At 55.2% G+C, this 20,488-nt stretch overlaps 5 annotated features.

Annotated features, from left to right (window-relative positions):
• Positions 659-1,216: an enhancer, noted in NCBI's record as "H3K4me1 hESC enhancer chr11:69679525-69680082 (GRCh37/hg19 assembly coordinates)". NCBI's record gives its function as "activates a minimal SCP1, AML or CMV promoter by ChIP-STARR-seq in naive and primed H9 embryonic stem cells {active_cell/tissue: H9 hESC(naive and primed)}" and the evidence as "EXISTENCE:reporter gene assay evidence [ECO:0000049][PMID:30033119]".
• Positions 1,217-1,774: an enhancer, noted in NCBI's record as "H3K4me1 hESC enhancer chr11:69680083-69680640 (GRCh37/hg19 assembly coordinates)". NCBI's record gives its function as "activates a minimal SCP1, AML or CMV promoter by ChIP-STARR-seq in naive H9 embryonic stem cells {active_cell/tissue: H9 hESC(naive)}" and the evidence as "EXISTENCE:reporter gene assay evidence [ECO:0000049][PMID:30033119]".
• Positions 1,775-2,332: an enhancer, noted in NCBI's record as "H3K4me1 hESC enhancer chr11:69680641-69681198 (GRCh37/hg19 assembly coordinates)". NCBI's record gives its function as "activates a minimal SCP1, AML or CMV promoter by ChIP-STARR-seq in primed H9 embryonic stem cells {active_cell/tissue: H9 hESC(primed)}" and the evidence as "EXISTENCE:reporter gene assay evidence [ECO:0000049][PMID:30033119]".
• Positions 14,733-15,364: an enhancer, noted in NCBI's record as "H3K4me1 hESC enhancer chr11:69693599-69694230 (GRCh37/hg19 assembly coordinates)". NCBI's record gives its function as "activates a minimal SCP1, AML or CMV promoter by ChIP-STARR-seq in naive H9 embryonic stem cells {active_cell/tissue: H9 hESC(naive)}" and the evidence as "EXISTENCE:reporter gene assay evidence [ECO:0000049][PMID:30033119]".
• Positions 19,344-19,844: an enhancer, noted in NCBI's record as "H3K4me1 hESC enhancer chr11:69698210-69698710 (GRCh37/hg19 assembly coordinates)". NCBI's record gives its function as "activates a minimal SCP1, AML or CMV promoter by ChIP-STARR-seq in primed H9 embryonic stem cells {active_cell/tissue: H9 hESC(primed)}" and the evidence as "EXISTENCE:reporter gene assay evidence [ECO:0000049][PMID:30033119]".

Below are 20,488 nucleotides of genomic sequence, written 5' to 3' on the forward strand. Positions count from 1 at the left end.
ACACGGCCGGGGCCTCAAGTGTCCACCTTGATTTAGGTCAATGCTGCCTTCTTTCCCCCACCCCTCCTTTCATCCCACCACCCCCTTAAATGGTGGGCCAGGCTATGGTGCCCTGGAGGCCACTGTTCCTTTTGCTCCAAGTTTTCAGCTCTGTGGGCTGTGGGGCAGGTGACTCAGGCCAAGCAGATGCGTTGCATCCTGCTGGGAAAACTCGATTTTGTAGACATTTGCCAGGATTGCCACTGAACATTTGGGGGGGTGGGGTGGGTGCAGTGGGGGACAGAAATGGCAGGAGTAGGGGCCGTGCAGTGGCCAGGCTGTGGGGGAGGAAAGGCAGGGAGCACGGTGGCCTCTGCCACCTCTAGGAATGGGCAGAGAGCCCCAGGGAGGCCCCTTTGACCTGCAGTGTGACCTCGGGAAGGCCCCTCCGCATCTCTGGTCTTGGGTGAAATCATTGAAAATACAAGGAAATAGAGAGAAGGCCATGCTAGGTGCGTTCTGAGGGCTGGAGGTGCCGTGGGACCCATCCACGTGGTCTCTCCTTCCCTGAGCTCACACCACAGGGAGGGAGGGAACCAGTGCCCAGTCTGGTTTCTGGGGAGGGGAGAAGCGAGAGGAAGAAAGTAAAGCAGAGGTGAGCAGGAGGCAGCTGGAGCAGCGTAGGAGGGGGACGTGGAAGCAGCGTTAGGGCGGGAGGGTGACCTCTGAGCAGAGGGTGGAGAAGAGCCCAGCCATGCCCGGGAGTGGGGATGCAGGAGAGACTGTAGGCAGAGGCAGCTGCTGGAGGTGAAGCCCAGGGCTGGCTGGGCACCTTCCCATGGTGGAGACCGAGCTCGTGCCCAGCACAGAATGGTGGATGGGGTGATGGGGGGAGGCTCAGCCAGGAGGGTCCCTGGGACTGCAGAGGCAGCCGCTGGGGCATGGATGTGAGTGGGTGGCGGGTGCACAGGGACTGAAAAGAGCCTGGCCTTTGGGGGTCAGAGCCCCGGGTTGGCATCCGTTTCCTCTCTCACTGGGGTGGAGATACTGGCAAGGACGGGGTGATGGCCTGAGCTCTGGACATCAGGAGCAAGGTGCTGTCAGCCCAGAGAGGGGTGGCTTCCTACTCACGGTCACACAGCCGGTGAGTCACAAAGCTGGGTTCTCAGCCCCTCTCTTTGGCTTGGGCCCAGTCATGAGACAGCTGTGGGAGCCCCGCATACAACAGGCTCCCGTGGAGGGAGAACCCAAGGCACCCGACAAGGTGGGCGTATTGAAGAGAAGAAACCAGGGGCCAGAACCGACTCAAGCCTCCGTCCTGAGAGCAGCACCCTGGAGTGGAATCCCACGGGCCTGCAAGAGACAAGCCGGGCCGTGCTTCCTGCCAGCACCTGGCCTGCTGCAGCCCACCTTTCTGTCCACCTGCGGGGCTCGACTCCACCACAGCCACCTCCTCCAGGAAGTCTGCCCAGATCCCCCCTCCCCTGCTGGTGTCCCAGTAAGCTCCTGCTGTTTACCTGCCCATCTCCCCTGCTGGCCCACAACTCTCGGTGTTTTATCTCCATTTCCCTTTGGCTGCACCCAGGAGATGTGACTTCGAACTAAGTAAGTGGATGTGTGGAAGGCGGGGGTGTCACAAAAGGGCTCACCCCAGGATCCCTGAGGTCAACCCTGACCCCCTGATTCTTATGTTTACCATGAGAACTGACCCCTGAAAACTCTATTTCCTAGACATTTGCCAGGACTGCCACTGAGCATGCAATGGCGGGTGGGGGCGGAGGTGCAGCAGGAGAAATGGCAGGAGTAGGGGCTTGCAGTGGCCAGGCTGTGGGGGAGGAAAAGCATGGAGCACGGTGGCCTCTGGCACCTCTGGGAACAGGCAATGCCCCAGGGAGGCCCCTCACCCCATGCTCACAATTCCATCTGCAGCTCAAAGGCTCAACGCATCATGTGATCACAAGCTTGACCTCCTCCTCTTTGTGCCTCAGTTTCTCCATCTGGAAAAACGGGTAGCTTTTGCCAGTCTTTCCGAGCTTCAGAATTCCAAGGGCAGAATTTCAGAAAGATGGCCACCAGAGGCTCCTTGGGGCCTACATATGTCCTTGTGCTTCTTTAGCTTAACATTCTGACAGTTCTCAAACTCCTCTGCTCACTTAAAGGGCCTTTCTGGAGTGTGTCGTGGTCTATCAGCTTTTTTCCACCCTTAGTGGAGTATAAAATAATGTTGTATCTTACAACAATTGGTGATACCTTATATTCTATAAAATATGGTGATGCCAACCGTTTCCCATTTCTAATAGTGCCTTATCTTCATTTAATCCTAGCAACAACCCCAGGAGGTAGTTACTATTATTATCCCATTTTACAGAGAAGGATAAGAGAAGTCAACGCCTCACCTAAGGCCACACAGCAATTTACCCACGGAGACTGGACAGTGTCAGACAGCCTGGGCAAGGTGCTGGGGCAGCCTCCTGGGATGTCGAGGTTTTCACAGGGCCTTAATGAATGGTGCAGTTTCTGGTGGAAAGACATTTGCTCCCTGTGACATTCTGGACAGAAGCGTGGCTTAGCAACAGTGCAGAGGCAGGACAAGGGAGACATTTAGGAGCCAGGGAGGCTCTCGGTGGGCTGAAGCTTAAACGGAATGTCTGGAGTTTTGATCATCAGGGGTGTTAGGCCCAGATTGTACAGGGCTTTGAATCCCTGTGCAAGAAAGAGGTCCTTTGGGAGGCAATAGGGAGCCATTGAAGGCTTTAGAGTAGGAGCATTGCAAGGCTGGAGCAATGTCTGCATAGCCTCTATGCATTCAGCCTAAAACCAAGCTCCTTTGGCCGGCATGCAAGGCCTGCTACAACCAGGCCTTTGTCAGTCACCCCACCAGTGCCCTCCACCCCATGCCTTCCCCCACACACTGCTTTAGCCACACTGACACTTTCTCTGTTCCTGAGCTGACAAATGTGTTCTTCCCACAGGTCTCCCCAGGCTCAATGTCCCTCGCCTTCGCCTCCCACCATCGCCCAGCTTCACTGTCTTTAACACACCGACCACAATCCGAAACCATCCTGTTGTCTGTGTCGTCATTACCTGCCTCTCACCAAGCACAGATTCACTCAGGATGGGGCTATCCTGTTCACCAGTCTATGCACAGCGCATGCCACAGAGAGGGCTTTGAAATGAGTCAATCAATCAACGGATGGGCTTATTCCTCCCACAGGGCATGTGTGTGTCTATTTTATGATCACGTGGGTAGCAGCTGGCTGCGAAGGGGATGAGCTTGGACATCCCACCACCGTTTTCTTCCCTCTGCTTGTTCCTGCTGCCACAGCCCATGGGGTCAGATGATCAGGTGTGGTCCTAGCCAGGTCCCGAGCGTGTCTGAGTAACAGGGAGCGAGGAATAGATCAACACAGGCTTAGCCACAGGCGGCTGTACCAGGCATTCACGTTCGGCCCCCTTCCCCATTCTGATGCTCCATCAGCATTTCCATGGCAGGGAAGCAGAGGCTGAGAGGAGATGTTTCCTGAGCTTTTCTAAGCACTGAGCACGGGCTGAGGCCTTGCCCTGTGTAACACTTTGGCCTTTTCCGTGGTTCCTCGCAACAGCCTTGTGCTGCAGCAGTGGCTGGTGGTTTCATGAGTTCCATTTATCGGATGAGACTCAGCGAGACCTCAAGGCTTGTCCTCAGCCGCCAGGCCAGGGACTCAGCTGGATGGCATCCGGGCCAGTGACTCCCACTGGCTCTTTGCCCGGGCCCCACTGCTCCAGCTGCCCCATGCGTGACCTGGTCCCAAAACCTTGTCCAGCCTGGTGTGTAAACAGGCTTCCCTCACGGCTGAGGCCAGTTTGATGTGCCTGGCACAGGGCCTGACACCAGCATGTGCTCCGCCAGCAGCAGCGTGGTGACATCATCATCGTCATCGTCACCATCCTCAACTGGGGAGTTTGCATCTGACTCAAAGTCGAACTCGCCCTCTGGAAGCGGGAGCTGTTTACGGGGAACAGAAGAGCAAAGCCCAGGTCCTGAGCTGCCACCCCTTGTATGGGGACAGGGACCCAGGCCCTTGTGGGCACCCAGGGAGTCTCTGGCCCACCCCACTCATGGGGGCCGTGCACCTTTGGAATCCCTTGTGCCTTGCCCCTTCTTCCGTCCACCGGCAGAGCTAGGTCCCACATAAAAAAGGGCTTGAGGTGGGCGAGCGCCTGCCTTTGTCATCCAGTGCCATTAAGGCCGGAATTTCTCATGGGAAAAGGAGCATTTTGGCTGCATGAAAGGTGGGGGGGTGCAGCACGGCCTGGGTTCCAGGGACGCCCGACCTGGAGCCGTTTGAAGTCCACCCGTTATCTGCCGCTGGGGCTGTTTGGCTTCTGTGGGGGCATAAACAGGGTGATTGAAGTAGGCGGTTGTGTCTTTCCGGACGACAAAAGTCCCCTTGCTAATTGCCACATCAAATGATCGGGAACCCCCCAGTGGAAGCCCTCAAATTACCGTGAATACTCACTGCTGCCTCAAGGCCGCCGCGGAGCCCCCACCCCGGGCAGCCGCCCCGCGCACCAGCTCGGGTTGCACGCGGGGGAGGCACAGGAAGGCCTCCGAGGATTTGTTCTGCTTGGCTGCCGGCTCGCTATGCCAGCCCCCAGCCCGGCCGCAGCCCCCTTTGTCTCTGGCCGCCAGAGCCAGCACACAGGCCAGCCGCACGAAGTCCCCCGCGGTAGAGGGAGGTCTTCTCTCTGTGGCCACGCTTCGGGACAGGGTCCCCGCTCAGCCCCAGCCTCCGCACCTTCAAGGAAACTATCACAGAGCTGAGGTCACCTTGTGCCCATACACACCAAAAGCATCCAAGCACACAGTTTCTTTGGTCTCTTTGTTGTCCCTGCCTGGTGGGAAGACGTGGACACCCACTGGTCAGCACCCCTCACTGTCCCACGCCTGTAACAGGCACCCAGTGGGCCCGGCTCCTTTATCAATCCGGGGATGCACTTCTCTGCGCGCTCCCCGTGCTGGCCGAACCCTTCACACCTGTTGCCTTGTTCAACTCCATCAGTCATTACCCCATTTAATAGAGGAAAAACTGAGCCTTGGGGAGGTCAAGTGTCTCACCCCAGGACCCCAGGACATGCTCCCCACCTGTGCTCTCTGGTTGCTCTTGGGCAGGCAGGGGAGAGACCCTGGTCACTCAGTGGTGAAAACTAATCCTGCCCTACCACCACCTGGGTGATTTCAGGGTTGTGCGGCCACTGCTCCTGAGGAGCACACGGCCCCCAGTGGCCCTGTCCCAGGCTGGCCACCTCCTGAGGCCTAGCATAGATTACCCACTGGGGTGGCCCTGACTACCCCCAGGCCAGCTTCATACCCACCTGGCATCCAATGACAGGCAACACCTGCCTCAGTCCTCACTCACCAACTCTCAGCATGATGGGAGATGATAAAACGACAGAAATGGGTACGATGGGATCCCTGGAGCACAGGACACGAAACAGAGCCACCCGGCCCCTCTGAAGGAGAGCAGGTGTTAGCCAGGTCAGGGGTGGAGGGAGGAAGGCCAGGAAGCCAGGGTGTGCCAAGGTGCCATGGCAGCAGAGTGGGGCCTGCAGCCGCAGAGGATGGGGACGAGGCTGTGAATGGGCTACAGCAGCGGTGGCATTTTCTGCCTCCAGCAGACGTTTTCTGAGTAGCCGCTCATGCAGGTGGCCTCTGCCGTGCCCTGGCTGGCCTGGGCTGCCTGGGGAGGAACACATGGGGGGCCCTCATGCTGCCTGTCAGCAGTCGGAGCAAGGCAGGGACAATCTCTGGGTGCCTCAGTTTTCTCATATGTAGAAATACACATAATAATAGGAGTCATCTCGCAGAATTGTTTTAGAGAATCAGTGACTTCATTGACACACACGGCGCAGCAGGGCCTATCACACAGCAAGTGCTCAATAAATGTTAAATATTATTACTCTATACAATACAAAAACAATCAATGCGCTAGAATCAAAGGAATGCCCACTACAACCACATTTTTTTGCCAAAGGGTACAAAGTTTTAGTTACATAGAATAAATTCTGGAGGTCTTTGTACAGCATGGTGACTGTACAAAGTTAGTTAATAATAACGTGTCATATAATTGAAAATCACCACACTCACAAGTGATAACTTGAGACGATGGGGATGTTAATCAGCTAGATTGTGGCAATCTTTCCATGATGTATACATGTATCAAAACATCACACTGTGCGTCATAAATATGGACAATTTGTACTCATCAATTATGTGTCAGTAAAAAAATGCAGAAAAAAAAAAAGAGCTTTAAACCACTACATTTTGGCTGGGGGTGGTGGCTCATGCCTGTAATCCCAGCACTTTGGGAGGCCAAAGCGGGTGGATCATCTGAGGTCAGGAGTTTGAGATCAGCTTGGCCAATGTGGGGAAACCCCGTCTCTACTAAAAATGCAAAAATTATCTGGGTGTGGTGGCTACCGCCTGTAATCCCAGCTACTTAGGAGGCTGAGGCAGGAGAATCACTTGAACCCAGGAGGTGGAGGTTGCAGTGGGCCGAGATTGTGCCATTGCACTCCAGCCTGGGCGACAAGAGCAAAACTCCATCTCAAAAAAAAAAAAAAAAAAAAAAAAAGAGAGAAAAAGAAAAAAAAAGCCACTACATTTTTTTGCCTCCCTAAATGACAGATATTTTTTGAAAAATCATAATGTCCAGAATTAGCAAAAAATCAGGGAAACAGGCTCTCTCATGTGCTGCTTCTTAGAGGCAGTGAAATAAATGAAACAACGTTTACCTTTTATTTGCAAAGCCTCCTTTATATATAATTGGCTGTTTAAAGCCAAGGTCAGAGTAGAGTGTTCTGGAGTTTGTAAAATCTGTGGAAGGAAATAGATGACAACTATTGCACAAAAGCTGAGAGAGTAAATATGTTACATAATTCTCCCGCCATGTGTGAAACTGCACGGCATTCTGGAATGGTAGATGGTAACACAGAAACTTCAAAGCAAATGCTAAATGAGGGGTGTCTAATCTTTTGACTTCCCTCAGCCACATTGGAAGAAGAATTGTCTTGGGCCACACATAGAATACACTAACACTAACAATAGCTGATAAGCTTAAAAAATGCAAACAAATCTAATAATCTTTTAAGAAAGTTTATGAATTTGTGTTAGGCCACATTCAAAGCTGTCCTGGGCCACATGCAGCCCAAGGGCCATGAATTGGACAACATTGTACTCAACAAATAACCAGAGAAAGAAAGCCAGGAGGTAAAGCCAATCAGCAAATGGAGGAGATGAAATGGAGTCATACTCAATTGATCCAAAAGAATGCAGAGAAAGAGGAAAGACAGGGACCAAGAATGCAAGACAGAGAGAAATGGAGAGCACCATGGGAGATGCTGGCTCAGCCACGGCAGGAACCACATCTAATGGAATGGCCCAGGTACAAGGCAGAAACAGACAGGGGGTGAAAAGGTGAGGCCCAATCACACGTAGCCTGTAGCTAATCCACCTTAAATATGGAGACAGAGAGGTGAAAAGCACAGAGAGGGAAAATTATATGCCATGCCCCACCTATCTGGGCCCACCACATCCACCTGGACCCGTCTCACCTACCTGAACCAATGCATCACGTCCACCTGAACCAATCGTTTCTACCTAGGCCCATCACATCTACCTAAGTCCATCACATTCACCTGAACCTATCACATCCACCTGGCCCATTATGCCTACCTGGTCCCGTCTTATTCACTGAACCCATTATATCCTCCTGGGCCCGTCACATCTACCTAAACCTATCTCACCCACCTAGACCCATCACACCCACCTGGACCCATCACACCCACCTGGACCCATCACACCCACCTGGACCCACCATACCCCCCTGGACTCACCATACCCTCCTGGAACCATCATTCCCAACTAGGCCCATCATGCCTACCCAGACCAACACACTCACCTGGACCCATCATGCCCACCTGGATCCATCACGCCCACCTGGATCCATCACGCCCACCTGGACCCATCACGCTCACCTGGATCCATCACACTCACCTGGACCCCTCACGCCCACCTGGATCCATCACGCCCACCTGGACCCATCACGCCCACCTGGACCCATCATGCCCACCTGAACCCATCACGCCCACCTGGATCCATCACGCCCACCTGGACCCATCATGCCCACCTGGATCCATCGCACCCACCTGGACCCATCATGCCCACCTGGATCAATTACACCCACCGGGACCCATCACACCCACCTGAACCCATCATGCCCACCTGAACTCATCACGCCCACCTGGACCCATCACGCCCATCTGGATCAATTACACCCACCGGGACCCATCACACCCACCTGAACCCATCACACCCACCTGAACCCATCATGCCCACCTGGACCCATCACGCCCACCTGGACCCATCACGCCCACCTGGACCCATCACGCCCACCTGGACCCATCACGCCCACCTAGACCCATCACACCCACCTGGACCCATCACACCCACCTGGATCCATCAAACCCACCTGGACCCATCACATCCACCTGGATCCATCAAACCCACCTGGACCCATCACATCCACCTGGACCTATCACATTTATCTGGGCCCATCATACTCACCTGGACCTATCACACCCACCTGGACTCACCACATCCACCTGGACCCATCACACCCGCATGGACCCATCACATCCACCTGGACCCATCACACTTACCTGGGGCCATCCTGCCCACCTGTACCCATCACACTCACCTGAACCCCAGTCTTTGTGTATCAGGTTTGTTTGGAACGCATGTTGAAATACGCCTACCTGGCTCACATGTCAACCAGAGCCAGGCTTTTTGCCCATTTTTTAAATGGTGCAGTGCAGGGGATTTCTAGGGTGATGAAACTCTTCTATATGATGCTGGATTTGAAATTACACATTTGGCAAAATGCATGGAACTGTGCAACACCAAGAGTAAACCCTAATGTCAACCGTGGACTTTAGAGAATAACAATGTGTTGATATTGGATCATCAATTGTAGCAAATGTGCCACACCAAGGCAAGATGTTAACGACAGGAGAAACTGTGGGTGGAACCCTATGTAATAGCTCATCAGTTATTCTGTAAATCAAAAATTGTACTAAAAATAGCCTATTAATTATTAAAAAACCAACTGACCAACCAAAAGGAAGTGGTGCAAGGCGTCCAAGAAGCGGAAGAGGCTGTAGCTTGACCTGGAAGACGAGAGCAGAGGCAGCGTTCTGGTAGGTGACAGGCGCGTGTTCCACCTGCTGGAGCTGCCGGTTTTCTGATTCTTCGCCAAGTTCTCCTTCGGCTGCCCCACGTACTTCAACACTTATCACTTAATAGCATTAATTATCACAACTCCTCCCTATTTACACGTAGCTTATCAACAAACAACTTGGGAGTCCAATAAAGCTTCATGGCTGGATTGAGCTTCCAGAACCTTCCAGTCCCACAATAGACAGCAGCTCCAGGCCCCATTTCACCAGGCCCTGGGCTCCAGTCCCCCAAAGACAGGAGGCAAGAGGTTAAACGCAGGGCTCGGATGCTGTGTGAGGTTGGGCCAGTTACTCAGCTTGCCTGTGCTCACGTTGATTTTGAAAGTTACACTTAAAAACAGCCCCCAGATCACAGGAGAGAGTGTGGCCAGCACATTGGGAAAACTTCATGATAGGTTTCCTTTTTCTTAGCAGCTCCTGTGCCCTGGCTGAGGGAGGGAAGGTAGAGGGTGGAGAACCTTCTCAGAGAGATCAGAAGGGGCCAGCATATTCCCAGCTGTATTCATCAGCTTGGGCCGCTGGAACAGAGTGCAGCTTCCACAACACAAATGGATTCCCCAACAGTCCTGGAGGCTGCAGGCCCAGCTCAAGGTGTGGCAGGACTGGCTCCTCCTGAGACCTCTCTCTCTTTGGCTTACAGGCCCCCTGTGTGTGTCTGTGTCCTCATCTCCTCCTCTTACAAGGACATCAGTCCTACAGCATTAGGACCCACCCCAGAGGCCTCATTTTAGCTTAATTACCTCTTTATAAACCCATCTCCAAATACAATCACATTCAGAGGCACTGTGGGTCAGAATCCCAACAAACTTTTGGGGGGACACGATTCAGCTCATAACCTCAGCAAATTTCTAAAACACCCACAGACCTGGTCCCACCATGAAGATGGCCAGGCGCAGCTGAGACGTGAACTCGGGAGCTGGTAAAGGCGGGTGGAGGAGGGTCTCCTGTGAGGCTTCGTCCTGGGGTGGAGTGGGGGCTGCTGCAGAGAAGAAAGGATGATGCAGCTGTATCCTAGGTCCAGCCCTGGGCTGCCCCAGCTTCCACGCGGCCCTGATGGCTTTCTGGCCCTGCGTCTGCATCTGTAGAATGGGTGAACGCTCCTCCAGACCCCATTGGTTTTTTAAGGGTACATGAGGCCGAGGACATGGGCAGCTCCTGGAACCCTGAGAGGAGGTGGGATCCTTTATATAACTGGCATCTGAGAAACCCCACAACAGAGAGGCAGGAGACCTGAGTTCCCGTCGCAGACAAGCCTACCTGCTTCCAAACCTCCCTCCTGCCGAGGCAGTTCTGAGAACCAACGCTGGTATCAGGACAGCAGCCATGGGATGCTTCCCACACTCCCGCCTTTGAACCCCACAACCCTGTGGGAGAGGCCCCCCCAAGCACCCACTTTTATGGAGGAGAAGTGAGGCTCAGAGGTTAAATGTCCCTCCCGGGCTCACCCTGCGCTGGGATCAGAACCCAGATGTCGGGCTCCACTGTGATTTGCCAGGAAGATCTTGGATGGGAGGGAGGACTCCCCGGAGTGGCCCATGGGGACCGCTCATGAGTCTCCCTGGCTCCCTGGGGACAGTTTCAGGTCCACAGCCCGGCAGGCTGAGGTGCAAATGGTTTCTTTGCGGTGCCTGAGGAGTTGCCGGCATTTGGAGTCTCCGTGCGTGTGTCTGGTTTTGTTTGCCTTGGAACTACAAAGGACTCACCAGTTATTTTGAGTTAACTCGGTTATTTTGCTTCAACTGCAGGGAACTTTTACATCCACCACAACCGTGTCCCAGCAGCCAGGAGGGCCCTTCGTCCTGCAGAGGGCTCCGGCGGCTTCACCACCAGGCAATGGAAAGAACTTATTTTTAGGAAAACGAGAAGCTACCTACCACTTAGCGAGGAATCCGGGTTAATTGTGAAGCTGTTCTCAGTTTCTTTATTTAGCTATTTATTAAACTGGCTCAAACTAGAATTAATGGCTGTGCCAGCCTCGCGGCTCCTCATGTGCCTGTTCAGGGCAGCCACAGCAATTTGGGCCTGATTAAAGGCTCCGCCAACCCCCCTCCCCACTCACACACACAGCTCGAAGCCCCCAGCTCAGGAATGCGCGGCCCACAGCTCGCAGGCCCGGCTGCAGGGAAGAGTTGTTTTTGCCTCAAATCCACACCCTGGGCTTCCACCCGCACAAGCATGTTGCTGAGCCTGTCCAGGGGCACCAGCCTTGGCCATCCACCCCAGAAAGGCGGCCCCAGACCCTTGCACCCTGCTCTGGGTCCCCTGGCCCCAGATCCCTCTTGGCGTCACCCCACTGGTGACTTTAGGCAGTTTCTGCAATTTGAATAATCTCATGTATCTATTTGCCTGCTCCTTTAGGCAGTTTCTGCAATTTGAATAATCTCAATCTCATGTATCTATTTGCCTGCTCCACCAGAATATAAGGTCCAGGAGGCTAGGTCCCTCACCCCTCCATTCACCCCGAAGCTCCAGCTTCTAGAACATGGCCAGATGCACGGCAGGTCCTCACCCCTCCATTCACCCCGAAGCTCCAGCTTCTAGAACATGGCCAGATGCACGGCAGGTCCTCACCCCTCCATTCACCCCGAAGCTCCAGCTTCTAGAACATGGCCAGATATACGGCAGGTGCTCCATCAGGAGATGCTGAGTTTCTCATTCTTGTTTGAAAACAGAAGGCTTCAGAGGCCAGCCCCGGGGGAGCCTCAGCCCTGAAGAGCAACGCACAGTGGAAATTAGAGAGACACTGCCTGGTGGTTCCACTGCTTGATGGCTCCGGATCCAGCCTGGGGGCTGCAGGGGTCTCTACTGAGGCTTGACGTTAGGGATGACCCCAGATCCCAGAGCCTCCCAAGCTGAAGAGAAACGGGAAGAGGCATGGGCACTCCTGTCCCCCAAGGAAGCCTGTTGGGCAGTGTTGTCACCTGCACATCCAGGCAAGAATGACAGCCTCGCCACTGCACGGCCCCAGGATGATGATGGCCAGAAAGTCAGATAATGTCAAGTGTTCGTGCCAATGTGGAGAAATCGGAGCCCTCTTATCTGGCCGGTGGGAAGGCTGCATGATGTGGCTGCTTTAGAAAACGGTCTCTCTTTTCCTCAAAAGGTTAAACCTGGACCTACCATAGGACCCAGCAATTCTGCTCCCAACCGTATACCCAAGAGAAACAAAAACACGTGTCCACACAAAAATGTGTAAAGGAATGCTCATGGCAGCATTATTCGTAATAGCCAAGAAGCAGAAATGAGCCAAATGTTCATCAACTGACAGAGGGATAAATAAAATGTCCAGAATAGGCAAATATATAGAGACAGAAGGTAGATTAATGGTTACTTAGAGCCAAGAGAGATGGAAGAAAGGGGGGAGGTTCATAGCTAAAGGGCTTCTTTTTGAAGTGACAAAAATGTTCTCTGGGTGCGGTGGCTCAAACCTGCAATCCCAGCACTCTGAGAGGCCGAGGCGGGTGGATCACCTGAGGTTGGGAGTTTGAGACCAGCCTGACCATGACCAACATGGAGAAACCCCATCTCTACTAAAAATACAAAAATTTAGCCGGGTGTGGTGGCGCCTGCCTGTAATCCCAGCTACTCAGGAGGCTGAGGTAGGAGAATGGCTTGAACTCGGGAGGCAGAGGTTGCGGTGAGCCAAGATTGCACTATTGCACTCCAGCCTGGGCAACAAGAGCAAAACTCTATCTCAAAAATAAATAAATAAATAAAAAACATAAAAAAAGAAACCTTCTCAAATTGGCTGTGATGATGGTTGCACAACTCTTTTAAATGGACCAAAACCAGTACGTTGTGTACTTTAGATGGGCGAACTGTATGGTGTGTGGATTATATCTCAATAAAACTGTTACCAGAAGAGAATGAGCCTCTCCCAGCCCGTCTGCTCCCAATAGGTATCCAGCAGAGGTGTTTAGCCTCCCACATCAAAGGGCTGTGCTGAGATGGTCACTGTAGCTTCAATCAGGGCTCTGAGCTGGACTCTACACAAATGCCTTTGGATGGTTTGAACAAGTGAGGAGACTGTGGGGTCTTCACATAGTGGAGTGTCGAACAGCAACGAGAGCATGCAGCCCGCACCCACCCCGGAGAACAGGGCTGCATCCGACACACCTGGGTGAACAAGCCACACATGACACACAGGCAAGCAATTCCTGTCTACGAAGCACAGAACCAGGCAAGATCCAGAGGGTGTTAGAAGCAGGATTGTGGCTAGCCCTGGAAGAAGGTGCTGGGTGGTGATGACATCTCTTGGGTGTTGATGGCGTTTGTGTCTTTTTTTTTTTTTGAGACAGAGTTTCACCCTTGTCACCCAGGCTGGAGTGCAGTGGTGTGATCTCGGCTTACTGCAACCTCCGCCTCCTGGGTTTAAGTGATTCTCTTGCCTCAGCCTTCCAAGTAGCTGGGATTACAGGTGACTGGATCACACCCAGCTAATTTTTGTATTTTCAGTAGAGACAGGGTTTCACCATGTTGGCCAGGCTGGTCTCAAACTCCTGACCTCAGGTGATCCAACCACCTCGGCTTCCCAAAGTGCTGGAATTACAGGCATGAGCCACCGCGCCCGGCCTGTGTTTGTGTCTTGATCCCTAACAATGACCTATGAGTAGCTTGGTGAGTCCTATTGATCCGAATGCTGGCTATGTGGGTGGGCTTATTCGAGAAAAAGCTGCACACTTTCCTGTATGTACATCATATGCCAATAATTTTTTTTTAGTTAAGGCTAAAAAAAAAAGCACAGAGGGCTGCAGGGTTGGGGCATAGTAGTATGTGGGTTGTGGGGTCAAATGTTCCCCACTCCCTCGGCCAGATTGAAGCCCCGGCTCTCCTGGCTGACTTTGGTTTGGTTACAATTCTCACCTGTGCAACAGGGATGATATTAACACCTGCCTGAGAGGGCTATTCTGGGGACCGAGGGAAGTCCTGCCGGTAAGAGGGAAGCCAGGGCCCGACACAGCAGGAAGAGGACCCAGTCCTGCCGACACGCTGATTTTAGCCCCGTGAGCCCATTTCAAACTTCTGATCTCCACATCATGAGAAGGCACTTGTGCTGTCTTCGGCCAGTCCATTTGGGGTCATTTATTATAGCAGCCACAGTAAACACATACGATGGGTCTCTCATCCTGCCAGTGCAGGCCTCAGACATAGCCTAGAGCTGTGTCCTCTACCTCTGGCCCCCTCTCCCAAGCCCCAATCTCCTCGTGGACCTTTGAGGTGCTGGGCAAAGTGCAAAGCCCCCACTTTTGTCTCTGGCTGGGCAGGTGCCCACCAGTGGAGGGAGGGCTGGAGGAGGTTTCAAGCTGGAAGCCCCAGGGCTCTGCCCAAGGAGTCACCTGAGGCCTCAGCTGCTCTAGCCCCGGGCACATCCCTCCCACAGAGGGAGGAAAGGCTGGTTCCTGTCTGGAAAGGTCCCCATTGGGCCCCCTCAGCCTGTCTGAACACAGAAGGGCACAGCCTCAGCCCTATAGGCAGAGTTGACCAGGACACTTGCAAACACCCTACCCCATCCTCACTCCACCAACACACCTGCCATGCCCAGCCTGTGCTATGGGGTTGGGGGAACAGAGGTGAGCAAACTTCAACAGGGTCTCTCCCCCAGAGAACCCAGAGTTCAGCAGGAAAGACAGATGTTCATCCAATCATCACATCTGTAAAGCAATGTCAGTTCAAGGAGAGGCACCTGGGGGCCAAAGGGGGTCAGGAAGATCTGGAAAGACCTACCCGAGGAGATGCTAATTGCACTGATATTGGCAGTGGGGATGTGCAGGCATGATGATGGAGGAGGTTGAGCAGGGCCTTGAGACCCGTGGGAGGGGGCCTGGGGGAAGAGGCCACAGTGGCAGGGCAGCCAGGACTCTGAACCCAGTGGAAGGCTCTGGAAGGCTGTAAGCAGAGGGACTGGGGATCCCATCCACTTTCGTAAAGACCACTCTGGCTGCCCTGTGGAGACTGGCTGGGCCAGTGGCAGTGGCGGCCCCAGGGCGGGTGGCTGCCATGCATCCCCAGCAGCTGCCGCTTCTTGCAGGAAGCAGGACCTGGCACACCCACCTGTGGCCACATCCCAGGCCTGTGACCCTAGCTGCATTCTGGGAGCTGGCTCTGAGAGACCACCCTCCTGCTGGCCCAGGGGGAGGTGGGGGTGGGACGTTCAGGGGGAGAAAGAGCCCACTAGCAGCTCCAAAAGGTGCCAGCTCTGTAGGCTCCAGCTTCCCGGGGCCAGGACCCCAGGCTGTGCCGCCTCCCCTGCCCCCATCATAAACGCATCTCAGCTCCTCTTGGCCCGTTCACTGACCTGCAACCAGGTGTGAATTGGGCCTGGCCAGGGACAAAATGGCTTTGATGAGCCAAATGGTGGGACCCTTTTTGTTGGGGGGAGGGGCTTTGGAATCTCCACAGTTCACCCAGGCATGGTGTCCTGCAGAGACCCAAGAAGGGGCCGGGAAGATTTCTTTTACGAGCCTCCCTCCTCCCCGGGCAGCTGCCCCCACTGCTGGCCAGGCCTCTTTGGAGAGCAAGGAGGCTGGGCTGCCCCAGGCCTGGCCCCTTCCTGGGCACAGAGATGAGCATCTGCCATGCCAGCCCACGTCACTTTCCTGGAGGGCAGGCCTTTGAGAAAAAAGGGACAGACGCTTTCAAAGGGACTAAAATGGTTGTTTTTTAAAATAACAAACGAACCCTATGCATCTCAAGGCCTTTTTGGAAGCCTTAAGAGAAGCGGGGAGTGGAGAATGCTGGGCCCCTTGCCAGGGGCAGGGATGGCCCTGCCCAGGGTCAGCTGCCCATGCTCAGGGGGGCAGTGGCTGCCCGTCAGCCCCCAGTCCCTTGTTCACGCACACAGACTCATGGGCAGCTAGTGGGGAAGGTCAGGTCCCAGTACCTGGTTCCCGCTCCCAACAGACACTTTATTCAGTGGCAGCCGGGATGGCCAAGTCCTTTCCCAGGCATCCCCCAGCCACGGATTCTGTGAGCGGGGGGCAGGACCAGCTCTTCCTCACTTCACAGCTGGGGAAGCTGAGTCTCCAGCCACTGGGGACAGAAGCTGGGAAACCCTGGGTCTTTCCCTGCCCCCTTATCAGACCTGCTCCTTCCCTTTCTTGAGGAATTCCCATCGACCTCATGGCTCCTACAGAGAGCAGGGTGGGCTACACTGGGTGGTTCCACCTGAAATGACAGCCCCACCAGCCTCCAGGCTGCCTGTCTGGCCGGGCTCCTGCCTCCTCCCCAATTGTCCTCAGGGACTGACAAGCTCCTGCTCTGTGCAGGCGCTGCCCTGGGCCTGTAGACCTTACACAGCTCAGCAGGGCTCAGGCCGGAGAGCCCCCAGGCCTTCTCTGAACCCCCACTCCAAAAGACCCCCAGTCACTGTCCGGGTGCCCCCGCTTTGCGACCCTCCCTGCCTTGGTCACCCCCTCTTGCTCGGGCGTGCGCTTATTTACTTATGTTTCTATGAATGGCGAGCTCTGTGAGGCACATAGTAGGTGCTCAGTAAATATCCCTCTAAGGATTGGATGAGGGAACCCTGGGCAGAGCCCAGCAGCAAGGTAAAGTGAGAGACAGGATGCACTGAGCTTCAGTTCCCAGCTGCACTGCACGTCAGGAGAACCTGCCAGGAGGCTCTGCCCGGGAGGTGGCCTGGCTGGCCCCACCACCCGCCCCTGTGGGGTCTCGCACCCAGCACTGCCCTTCCCTGCTCTGTCCAGTGAGGTGATGCCATATACCTGCTCACCTCACCAGATTGAGACGGACTCTGGATTTGAAAGTGCTCAGACGCTCTCATGGGCTGTATGACAACGTCGGGGTCCCAGGGTGATGACAGAGGACTGCCATTTAGGGTTTTCAGGGAAGGCTACCCTAACACCAGCTCCTTGCAGGCTGCCCTTGGCCTGGTGTCCTGACCACACTCTGTTCCCACCAGGCCCCCTGCCTGAGTACCATCAGGAGCCGATGCCCCACCCCATCTGGGTGCCACTGGCCATGGCCCTCTTGGCTGTGGGGTGCACCAGTGCAGTTCCTGAGCCCCACAGCCCACTCAAACCCACACCACCACCCAGAAGCTGAGAGGCTCAGACAAATGATACGGCCATCCTGGGACCAGTGCTGGTTCCAAGGCCAGGAGGGATTGGCAGGGAAGATCACCATGGGTGACCACCGGTCACGTGTGTGGGAAACGCTGGGCTCTGTCCACCCTGATGAGATGGGAAGACGCTGACACGTGAAGGAGTTCTTTATTCCAATTAGAATTTCCCTGGACCCAGCCGTCTGGGACAGAGCCCTGGGTGCCCCAGGAGAAGAGGCCCCAGGTCCCACACCACCTCTAGGCCAGAGCTGCCCCCGCTTGGCTGAGTAGGTTAGCAGCACAGGGCTCTGGAAAGTGCTCTGGTCTCACCTGCCACTGGATCCAGGCAATGTGGCCTGGGGCACAGGACCAAGCCTGCTCAGCGCTCAGCCTCTGTGTGGCCAGGCGAGGCCTCCCAGCTCCTCTCCAAGTCCGTTTCCTGGGCTCAGCCCTGCTCACCAGCATTCACCCCACAGCCCCACTGGGGGACTGGCAGCGGGAAGTTCTTCTCAGGTGCTTGTGGTCATGGCCGTCAGTGCCAGCCGGGCCCATGCTTGGTGCCCACCCTTCCAAGCCCATCAGAGCCGCCCCTGGCCAGGCTGCTGCTGGGGACGGGACAGGAGAAGATGGCCAAGCTGGCTTCCTCTAGTGCCTGCCAGCTGCCTGTCCACCCTCCCACACGAAGACCTCTGTACCTCACAGGCCTCTGCTCAGGAATCCCCTAAACCATCACCCACCTACAGCCCCCTCTGCTGGACACCTTGGACCCTCACGTTAACCTCAGGCCCCCGTGTCGGACGGGCTTCCAGGGTCTCACTTCCCCTCCCTGACTTGTGTGTGTCTTCAAAGACATTCCACCCCTGCCGCAAGCATGACCGGGCTAGAGACCCCCATCCCTGCTTCCATCCACTGACCCAAGGCACTGAGCACTGACTATGTGCCAGCCCCAGTCAGAAGTGCCGGAGATGCAGGCGGTCATTGGACAAAGCTCCTGTGCTCCTGGATCAGGCATTTCCTGAACTCCACGCGGAGCTGTTTAGCTTAACCAGTGTCACCTTTAGTGACAACACTACAGGTCCTTCAGGGGGCCATCCGTATGTGCCCATTTTCAGGGTGCCACAAAGACCTCATGAGCATGAGCCTTGCCTGCTGACAGACCTGGGTTGAAAGATGAGCTCCCCACTACAAGCTGAGCTCCCCACTACAAGCTGAGGGACTGGGCAAGTTATAAAGTTGCACGACAGTGTCAGTGAAAATGGATGCCACATCAACCAGGTGTACGTGCTGCTCCAGCCCCCTGAGTGATAAGACTGTTTAGTCATCCCCAAACCCTACAGGGTAGGTCCTGTTGCCTCCTGAGTGGTAGGGAAAAGGAAATGGAGGCGTGGGGAGAAGTGTGTTGGTCACGGCCATGCCTCCACTCTCTGAGCCCCAGCTCCAGCCCCGACAGCCTGAGGGCAAGGTGCCCTCAGTGCCCCGCAGCTGCTGCACTGAAATCCCACAGACCAGGCAGTATGAACAGCAGGCATTTATCCCTCGCAGTTCTGCCGGCCTCAAGTCTAAGATCGAGGGGTTGGCAGTGCCACATGCCCTCTGAAGTCGCTAGGGGAGGACCCACTCTACCTCTTCCAGCTTCTGGGGCTCCAGCTGCTCCTTCGCTGTGGCCGCCTCCCACCAGCCCCTGCCTCCGTGGTCACACGGTCACCTCCCCTCTATGTCTTCTCTTTTTTTTTTTTTTTTTGCCTCTTATAAGGATCCCATCATTGGATTTAGGGCCCACCTGGGTAACCCAGGATGATCTCGTCTCAAGATCCTTACCTTAATTATATCTGCACAGACCCTTATTTCCAATAAAGCCATCTTCTGAGGTAGCTGTGGCTTAGGGGCCGCCAATCAACCCTCTACCAGGCCGCTGAGGCATGGGGCTAGGGCAGGGGCGTCTCTAGCTCAGGTCTGGGGGGGTCTATGGGTGATCCTGGCAGACACAGATTTTCATCATGCCGAGAGGTGTCCACACAGCCCTGTGAGCTGCGCTCCCCTGGCTGGCACCCCAGGCTGACTGTCTCAGGGCAGACTTGCCTATGGACCCAGTGTGGAATTCCAGCCACCACGGGATGCTGGGTGTGGTCTCTGCGGGATGCTTGGTGGCCCAAAGAAATCATCTGTTCCCATGAGCTGTGGCCGCCAGGGCTGTCCCGCCACCACGGAGCCAGCTCAGAGGGCACACGGCCCCGAGACAGATTGGCATTCTGGCTACATCTTGGGGAGCAGCCTTGGCATCGGAGGGGCTCTGAGGCAGGAACCTGGTGCACCCACGGTGGGGGACAATAGCTGCCTCTGGCCGGGGGAGCCCAAGGAAGGAAGCTCAGGCAGCCCAGCTCCTTTCCAGTGATGCTGAGTGCCTAGCTCGGGCCAGACACAGGAGCAGGGAGCTGGCGGGGATGCTGCCACCCACAGGGCCCTGGGAGTTGGTCAAGGGACTGGGTGGCAAAGGCCAGCACGCCGTGGCCCCTCTGGAGGGGAAGGAGCCTGGAGACAGAGAAGCACGTCACCACCCCCATTCCAGGTGCAGAGACAAAGGGAACAGAACGAACGAGACCAGGGTCCATCCTTCAGAGAGCCAGGGGCCAGGGCCTGAGCCCTGCTTGGCCAGCACTTGCTAAGTGGCCGGAGGCCGGCGGCTTCCTCTCTCTGTGCCTCTGCGTCCAGTCATATCTGAAGCTGGAGCTGGTGGTCTGATAGAATGCAGGGCACTGCACGTAGGCTGCACACGCCACACGGGCTGTCACCAGCACTGCCTGCACCAGCGTGGGGCCGTGACTGGAACAGCGCTGGGCAGAGTCTGTGTTCAGTAACCATCCTTGGCTGCTGTTATCAAGGAGGCACTAAAAGAATTCCTGGGATCCCCAGAGAAGGAGTAAATGCCTGCATTTGTTGGGGAGGGAATAAGGAGGGTGGAGAAGAAATCAGGGACAGCTGAAGGGTGAGCGACATGCCAGGGTATCGGGCGGTGCCAGTGAACAGAGAGAGCAGAGGCCCAACTGCAAATTCCTTAGGAGACCAGCTTGCCTGGGGGCGGCCCCACTGGGGCTTTGACGTTCACAGAGGAGTTCGGACCTTCGTACTGCAGGAAGAAATGTTTAGGGTGGGAAGCAAGATTAGACTGGCACTTGG

The sequence above is a fragment of the Homo sapiens genome, chromosome 11 (assembly GCF_000001405.40).
Source record: "Homo sapiens chromosome 11, GRCh38.p14 Primary Assembly".
Classification (NCBI taxonomy): Eukaryota; Metazoa; Chordata; class Mammalia; order Primates; family Hominidae; genus Homo; species Homo sapiens.